Below are 9,320 nucleotides of genomic sequence, written 5' to 3' on the forward strand. Positions count from 1 at the left end.
GAGCTGCCAGCCCCAGCCTCCCATTCCCCCACCTCCTTACCATGCCCTTCCTTTCCTTCTCTGGCCAGGCCCGAGTCCTGCCATCTCTAGATGCTGCATTTCCAATACTTTCGGCCCAATAAACAGTTGGCAGGTGTCAGGTTCCCAGGTTTGAAAGGGGTCTATATTAATCACAGAGATACACACCTGTCAGGAGTCCAGCTAATGTCCTTCAGAGAGCCCTGGAGGAGAGCGGGAGAGGCAGGGCTGATCTGAGGGCGGAGCACACTGAGGAGTAAGGAGAGGCTGGGATGTGCTAGGGCCACCAGACCAGGATGTACTGGGGCCGCCAGACCTGTCCACGGAGTCCAGGCGGGGGACTCCCACATGTCTCAGGCATCATGAGGGGCTACAGAAGCAGCATGAAAACAGTCCCCACCCTCGCCCAGTTCATGACCTATATTGGGAGTGACACACGCTGGGCTTTAAGATGCTTGCCAAGCAACATACAGGCAAGTGCAAAGTAGTGAATCCAGGTTGAGGAAGTGGGTGAGGAGAAGAAATATCAGGTGAGAAGCAGACCTGGGGGTTGGGAGAATGGGGTAGGAAGAGTCCCAGATATGCAGTGAAAAGTCATGCCCTGTTAACGGGGAGAGAATAGAAGGAGGGGAGGGGAGTGGAGGGAAGAGGAAGGGAGCAGAGGGGCTGAGAGGGGAGGGGAGGGGAGAGGAGGAGAGAGGAAGGGAGGGGAGGGGACAGGAGAGGAGTGGAGGAGAAGGGAGGGGAGTAGGAGGAAGGCAGTGCACATTGCATGCAGTAAGGAAAGTATTATGTTATAAAACTTTGTTTCAGCTTTTTGTGGGGTGAGTGTGTGTACTGGGTCCTGAGATAAAATTTCTTTCTTGCATGATCTAAGAAGTATGTGTGCATCACAGGAGTCCAGGCTTTGAGCCTGGGATCAGCACAGTTCCTGACTCTGACCCACACACCATGAGCCAAAGCTCTAGACCTTTCAGAAATTCTTCACCATCAGAAAAATGGAGGTGGCACGCCCTGCCGCAGCTGATCAACTTCCCAGATGTGCTGCGAGCCTGCAGTAAGAGAATGGATGTGAAAGTGCTTTGTAAACTGAAAATTCCAATGAGAAAAATCCATTATCATTAGGTACAGTTAACCAGAAACCTAAGAGGTAAACTTAGATCTGGATTTTGGGGGGTTTGTTTGTTTGTTTGCTTTTTGAGATGGAGTCTCACTCTCTCGCCCAGGCTGGAGTCCAGTGGCACGATCCTCAGTTCACTGCAACCTCTGCCTCCTGGGTTCAAGCAATTCTCCTGCCTCAGCCTCCTGAGTAGCTGGGATTACAGGCATATGCCACCACGCCCAGCTAATTTTTGTATTTTTAGTAGAGACAGGGTTTCACCATGTTGGTCAGGCTGGTCTCGAACTCCTGACCTCATGATCTGCCTGCCTTGGCCTCCGAAAGTGCTGGGATTACAGGCGTGAGCCACCACACCTGGCCTAGATCTGGATTTTGAAGAAGAAGAAGAAGATAATGATGACGATGATGACAGCTAATGCTTAGATGGTGCTTGCTATTCACTAGGCACTGTCCTATGATGGGTGGAATACAGGCTGTGGGGAAGGAGGGGCTGCTCTCTGTGGCAAGAGATGGGAACTGAGCTAGGCAGGTGGCTACAGCCACAAGAAGCCCTGGCTACTGGGCTGCAGCACATGGCAGATCACACCAAACAGAGATGGTACATTTTGGGGTTGGGTGCACAGGGACAGATCATCTGGAGTATGACGTGGTTTCCTTTGGGTGTCCTGAAGTCCCCAGCAAGAATGCTGAAACATGTCTGTCATGTTCCCTTCTACAGGAGAAAGAGATAGAAGTGGCCTGGCTTTGAAACATGGTGCTATCCCCTAGCAAGCAGAGGAGGAGCTTCCAGACAGAAAATGGTACCTTTCCCCAGAGTCTATGTTGAGGTGCACCAGCCTTTCCAGTCCTGAGAAAAGACAGAGTCATGGCTCCAGGGCAGGTGGGCATGCCTGTGTCCCAGGAGGCACTGTTCTTCCTGGCCAGAGACCCATGCCCACTTCAGAGGAGCCATGAAGGAGAAACACCAGGCCACAGTGGAGGACTGTGATCAAGGAAAAATTGAAGAACTGCTGCAGGAAATTGGAGCTGCCAATCTCCTAACAATTGGAATTTTTTTATACTGTGCATTTCACAAATGTATGGTAAGTGCTTGGGAATCACAAAGGTCCTATAAGTATTCAGTATTACAAGTCACATCCTGCTAACACAAGTACCATTGCAATGAAACTTTCTGTATGACAAAAGCAATTTCCACATCCTGGTCGGTGGCCCATTTATTTCAAACAATATTCAATATGCCAACAGTGATAGCTCCCTTCTCTGAGCAGGCAGGCTGATTGTCTGTCCTGTTAATTCTGTAAAGCATGCATGCACCATCTTGTACCATTCACCATTGTTTGATGCTTATTATTCTTGCCTTGAAGTCCTCAAGGACAGAGAAGATCCTGCCCTAAGGAGCAAGTGTGCGGAGGCCACCTGGCCTTCACTGGTTCCTGCACTGAATGTTTCCTTCTCACCTGCTGAGTACCAGGTGTTACCCCAGGTATGAGATGACCACGCCAGGAAGATGTAGACCCCGCTCTCAAGGGCTTACAGGCTGCAGGGCAAGTAGACCAGCAAACTGCCATCAAGATTCAGTGTGAGAGGTGCATTCTACAACAGCACTCAGAGCAGGGATCCAGGGAAGTGGTGCCTAACATAGACAGAAGGAGTCCAGGAGGACTTCCAGGTGGAAGTGACATCTAAAAGATGAATGAGAGTCATCCAGGCAGGTGAGGTAAGGAAAGGGTCAAGGGTCAAGGCAGTGGGACAGTGGTGAGAGCCAGACTAGAATTCCAGGTATTTGGATCAGCACAATGATAACAACAGCTCACTTTTAAAGAACACTTGCCAATGCCAGGCACATAGTAAAGGCTTTATAAGCATTATTTCATTTAAGCCTCAAATCAACCCCACTATCCCTATTCTACAGATGAAAAACTGAGGCTTTGAGAGGATAAATATTTTGTCTATTTAATCAACACAATCTAAATATTAGCCATCATTATTATCATAATTGTTACTATTATTATTAACTTCAGACATCACATCTCAACTAACCTCTTCTGGTGAAACAGGTACGGATTAACCTCCCCTAATGATAAGCTCACACCATTAGTAATGAGCTGCATTAGGATTTGAACTCAGTACTCAGATTCTGGAGATGAAAGAGGTCACCAGGCGGGGGAACGGCACCTACTCAGTCTCCTGGTGTGGTGCAGGGAGGGGTCATAAAGCATCAGTTGGGCAGGGCTGGTCCTGAGTGGCATGAAGGCTGTGGAAAGGCACCCATGAAATGTTCCAGAGGGTGAAGGGCATGACAGCCTGTGGCTTTAGAAAACCTCCTCTGGCTTCATTATGAAGAATGGATTCAAGAGGGCAGAGCTGGAAGCAGGGAGATGCATTAGGGGCTATTTTCTCATCCAAGCAATAGATGTTGGCGGGGTGAAGTCAGGCTTGGTGTGGATGCAGAGGAAGTAAAAGATGAAAGAGCATTTTAGGAGGTGAACTGGATGGGGCATCCGCCACACAGGCTGGTGGGGAGGAGAAGGAAGCTGGGACAGGCAGTATGGTGCAGGGAAGGACCCAGTTACAGAGTCTGGCTCCAAAGGTGGGACAGGGCATCTGGAAGCCCCACTGCCATGCCCAGGGCATCTGGAGAGGAAGGAGGAGCTCCATAGGTGGCGAGGCTGCCATGTGGTGGATGTTTGAGGTGGCAAATAATACTTGCAGCTCAGCAGGCAATGGCCTGGTGGCTCTGCAGAAGCAGCCCCAGGGGAGGATGAGGATGAGGGATGTTGGGTGCAGCCAGGGAGGCTGGTTTCAAATAGTAGGCAGTCAGGGGATTAGGTCCAGAAAACAAAGAATAACTTAGATCAATGAGGGCAGGTTGGCATAGGAAATGGTAGAGTTGCAACTGCAGGGTGCTAAGGGTGCCTGGGTCCGGCTGGCTCCAGAAGTCAAGGTTGAACTCCCCTCATTGTGCACCTGAGCAGCTGACATCCTTCCAAAGACCAGGACATCAGGGACCCCATCTAGGATGGGATGAGACAGAAACAATGTTCTTGTCCTGTGTGGTTTTACTTCCCTCCCCGGGGCCCAGCCGAGGGGTGGGTGCGTGGGGGCACCTAGCAAACACTGGTTAAAATCAGAGCCCAGCATCCTGTCCCAATGTGCATGCCTACCCTCAGCTTTTGAAGTCTGAGGTGTCAACAGTGTGTAGTTTAGAAATCCTGGAAGGTTGCAAAGTGCTCAAGGGGATGGTTCTAAAATACGTAGTGATGCTCCCCCGCCAATATGTTGTGTGTTGTGGCAGGAGAAATATTTCCAGAGATGGCGACATCAGAACGCTACAGGAAAGCTCTAGAGAATTTAGTGCCTCTGCGTCTCTTCTCCTTCTCATTAGGAGACAGCAGTGGTGTTTTAAATTCTTTAAAGTGGCACTTCAGTCAAGGAGGAGTTTATAAAAATAATTTCTGCAGCATGGTGGATGGAGGGTGACAGGCAGCAGCCGGGTGAGGGGTTGAGAGGGCTGGGAAGAGAAGTCAAGCAGGCCACTGGGTAAACAGGGGGGACCCCTGAACCCCAGAGTCAAACAGAAAAGACTCTACCATATGCAGCCCTGGACAGTCAAGAAGCATGGAGCAGGGAGGGTCTGTGTGCTGATGGCTGATGGGCCCCCACTGGTGGCCTCTCAAGCCCCATTAGGGCTGGCACCAGGTATGGTCACTTCCAGTCCACACAGAGCTTTTGTAGGCACAAGGACAAGTGACCCCTTTAGGTAGATGCAGCTCTGCCCCAGGGTGCATGGCTTGGTGGGCAGAACACAGCCAAAGTTCAGCCCCCTAGTTCCCCCAAGGCCAGGTGCTTTGATGCAGAAAAATATTGTGCAACTGTTCATGGCAGTCCATGGGGAGAGACTGGGGTGCATCCTCGTGAAACACTGGAAAACAGAGCCAGAAAGCAAAACTGGAAATCATGGGAATCCAAGAGGAATTAAGACATTTTAAATAAAAAAAAATCTATTTTAAGATCCAGAAGGAGAGAAGACTCCTGATTAGCTAAGGCAACAAGCAGTGGTATGGGGAGAGAGTAGAAGCCACTGCAATCCCTTCCCCATCTAGGTAGTTAGGCCACGATTGGCAAAGTGCTTTGCCATGCATGATCCCTCAAAATTCGCACTGATAAAAATTCAGTGAAGAGACTTCCATAGAGCAGGGAGCCACAACTCAGAGGCCTCACTACTTGCCCAAGATCTCTCAGCTAGGGAGGTGGGGAAATGGGACTCGAAGTCAGGTCAGCTGACTTCAAATCCAACCCTTTTTCCTAGGTAGCCTCAGTGTGATGGATTATCTGCAGAGATCATCACCAGTAATCCTCCAGCCCTGTACATATCCACTCTTTTCCATCAGGAGGTGAAATTTATTTCCCCTCCCCTTGAATCTAGGCCAGTCTTGTGACTTGCTTTGACACTGACTTTTCTTACACTGTGCATTTCACAAATGTATGGTAAGTGCTTGGGAATCACAAAGGTCCTATAAGTGCTCAGTATTACAAGTCAAATCCTGCTAACACAAGTACCATTGCTATGAAACTTTCTGTATGACAAAAGCAATTTCCATGTCCTAGTCGATGGCTCACTTATTTCAAACCATATTCAATATGCCAATAGAATGTGTAAGTGACACCAGGCAAGGTCCAGGCCTCAGTCTTAAGAGGCCTGGCAGATCCTACTTTCACCTTCTTGGGATCCAGCCACCATGTGGAGAAGCACAGTCTAGACTGACATCTGCTGAAGATCACATGGATTGGTGCAGTGAGGGAGAAGCCTGGCCAGCCCTCCAGTCACCCCAGCTGCCACACATGTCAGGGAAGCCATTGTGGATATCGTGGCTAAATGCAGCCTTGTGAATGGCCCAACCTGACACCATGTGGCATAGAGGAGCTGCCAGTGGAGCCCAGCCACCCCACATAATCATGGAAAAAAATAAGACACTGTGCTGGATAACCGAGACACCTGATTAGTGCAGACACTCCTCCTGGGGTCCTGACACTGGAAGGACCTGCCCAGCGTGTCATCCTGGCTTTGATAACTGACCTAAACTGGCCAGGACTGCTCCTTCTTCCACTGTGTCCTCTTGCTCACCCTAGACTGCGAATTCCATGAGGACAGGACAGTTCTTTGCTTTGCTTTCTCTCCAGACTTAGGAACTGTTCCCTAAACAGAGAATACTTGGTCGTGATGCCTGGCCATGATGCTGGTCAGTCAGTCTGCCTGCCTGTCTAGCTTGATATTAAATGCCCAAATCAGACTCCCCTAGTAATACACATAGTGTGGCTCGTGAGTTGGGTGTGACTTTTTTCAGCGGAATAACTCAATTTCATTTTACATGTTGCTGCTAGCCAGGAGAGTGTGGTCCCACTGGGGAGGGCAGGCCTTTTGATGTTTGCCATGTTGGTCTTTACTCTGTGGGAGCCCATGAGAGGCAATGCAGAGATTTCAGAGTATTCAGAATATTCTCCCACTCCCACCCCACCATACCCTAAATGGCTGTACCTGTCACACATACCATGCCCTGGCTAATAGCGTGTTGTTGTATAAATTAATTACAAAATGACTAATGTCAATTTCACTTTCATCAGAGATGGCAGAAGGACTGAGGACCTGGGGAGGAGAGAGGAGGAAACTGGAGGACTGTGAACGTGGCCACGTCTTTTCCAATGGAGAGAAAACTCAATCGGATCTGGGCACTCCCTACATTTCTCCACCTCCTGCCGCCCCCGTGAGCCACTGCAGGGAGATTTTTCTGAATAATGGAACATTTTCCTGTTTTAATCAGATGCAATTTTGCAAGCAGTTTTTATGATTTAGCAAGTCCATTAAAACTGGCATTTGTTCTGCTCTGACACTCGAAAGGGGCTCCACAGAGCATAAACATTGGAAATTACTTGTAGGGAGAGACAATATTAAAATTCCCCAGCCTGGGCCTGTTGTTTGAGAAATTCTGTTATCAAGCATCATGCCAGCTACGATCAGAGGTGCTTGAGATATATGCTGCTTCCTCTTTACGCACTAACTGGGGGCCTGGGAACTCAGGCAGCAATAAAGTCGCAATGCTGTTATCTCTCAGCACTTTTGGCATCAGGAGGTGAATGGGTCTTAAGGAGAACTCACTGGAAGAGCAGGTCACGAAGTGCAAAATCTCAAGGAAGAGGGTGGGTGAACACATCTTTAAGGACAAGCCTGGAAATTGCTTTCCTGCCCACAGTGAATGATAGAGTTTATTGGCACATAATTAAGAAGGTCTGTTTTGTCAGTTTCACTTGTAGTCAATTCTCAATTATCCATATACTAACAGATGACCAGGGTCAAGTGAAAATTCTCCTTTTGCCCTCCTTCTGCTTCCCTGCAGGGATTCCCTCTCCACAGAACCAAAGTAGAGTATCAGCAAGAGAGGCTTTGGGGAGCATCTCCTCTCCCAGTCAATGCAGAAGCCATAGAAGAAATCACAAAAGATAGAACCTGGCAGTTCAACTACATAAAATTAACAATGCGTGGGTATAACAAACTAAGAAACTGGCCGGGCGCAGTGGCTCACGCCTGTATTCCCAGCACTCTGGGAGGCCGAGGCGGGCGGATCACGAGGTCAGGAGATCGACACCATCCTGGCTAACACGGTGAAACCCCGTCTCTACTAAAAATACAAAAAAATTAGCCGGGCGTGGCTGTGGGCACCTGTAGTCCCAGCTACTTGGGAGGCTAAGGCAGGAGAATGGCGTGAACCAGGGAGGCGGAGCTTGCAGTGAGCCAAGACTGTGCCACCGCACTCCAGCCTGGGTGATAGAACGAGACTCCGTCTCAAAAAAAAAAAAAAAAAAGAAACTTTTTATTCTGAAGAAAAATATTTACTTCTAACATTTCAGAGTGTTAATGTTTTCATATAAATAATTAATATATAAATTGATAGGAACGTTCTAAGAGTCAAGATGGGGTGAGGTGAGGAGATCAAACAACAAACAGACAAAGGATTCATGCAACAAAAAGATTTGAAAATAAACATATGTTGAAAAGGACAACCTCACTTACAATGAAAGAAACACAAAGATGATATAACACACTGTTTGGACTTCTAGCTAAACATGAAAAATTGAACACGTGTGTTTATTTCCTCTCCCTTCCAAATCTTCACTAAAATGAAAACAAAGAATATAAGAAAGGCATAAACTCATAAGAACCCCAAGAAGAGGAAAGGAGACTGCCGCATATAAAAGACATCAACTATTTCTCTAAGACAGAGGCAGATGGGGGAGTGGCAACTGGCCGAGGATGCCAAGGACTAAGGGGCTGCAGAAAGAGGGCTGTCAGAGAGTTTGTAGACTCACCCGCAACACCCGAAGTCACTGGAACTAGAGGGCAGTCAGGCCCAGGAATGGATAGAAAAGCCCCAGAAGCAGATCAGGCTTCACGTGCTGGAGAGAAGGATGTAAGGAGTGGGTCATGGTGGGATTCGAGGCTGAGGAAGAGGGTGCCAGATGTTTGGTTCCGGCAGTGTAGTGGCCCAGATAACCAGCATGCATGCCCATGACAAAGACCTAGAAAGGCGAGCATCCTTTAAATGCAAAACTGAGCTTTAAGCCAATTCACCTGTGAGCCAGGCACAAAGGATCTGGAGCAGGAAGCACTTGAATTGACACTACAGCGGCTGCATGATTTTGCCGGCATTGGGAACCCAAGCACATAGGGTTAATGCTCATGTGGGACCCAGTGGCTGGGCATTGGGCCTTCTGAAGAGGGATGTTTGAACTGAGATCTTTGCATAGAAGCTTGACTTTCAAATGATTACACTTCGATGAAAGAGTGGAAGAGAAAATGTACAGTCCTGGTCCAGGAAGATGACAAAGAAGTCTGTCTGACTCCACTTAGACAAGGAGTTCTCATCTGGCAATTTATAACCATGGACCAACTCTTCATACAGATTTGGTCTTTGACTTTATGCTAGCTTCTTGATACAGAAAGAAACAACTTGATAATGTTTTATTTTAAAATAGTTCTGGATTAGTGATACATTTGGGACTCATAAGCAAATGCAAAATGTCTTAGAAAAACACATTCTCATCTAAGCGTGCTCAGGATTCTAGAGATAAAACTCTGTTGAGATAAGCTTGCAATCCAAAATTCAAAAACACAAAGAACAACGCAGGT

The 9,320-nt window shown here is 48.0% G+C and overlaps 1 long non-coding RNA gene across 4 annotated transcripts in view; it reads left to right on the forward strand.

Moving 5' to 3' along the window:
• LOC105369526 (uncharacterized) overlaps positions 1-7,250 on the forward strand; it is a 45,817-nt gene extending 38,567 nt beyond the window's left edge. For all 4 annotated transcript variants that reach the window (XR_948081.3, XR_948080.3, XR_948082.3 and 1 more), the window contains 5 exons: positions 896-1,143; positions 1,857-2,220; positions 2,503-2,621; positions 5,448-5,626; positions 6,761-7,250. This is a non-coding gene — a long non-coding RNA (uncharacterized LOC105369526). The remainder of the gene's footprint in view (positions 1-895; positions 1,144-1,856; positions 2,221-2,502; positions 2,622-5,447; positions 5,627-6,760) is intronic.
• The last annotated feature ends 2,070 nt before the right edge of the window (positions 7,251-9,320 follow it).

The sequence above is a fragment of the Homo sapiens genome, chromosome 11, assembly GCF_000001405.40.
Source record: "Homo sapiens chromosome 11, GRCh38.p14 Primary Assembly".
NCBI classification, from domain to species: Eukaryota; Metazoa; Chordata; class Mammalia; order Primates; family Hominidae; genus Homo; species Homo sapiens.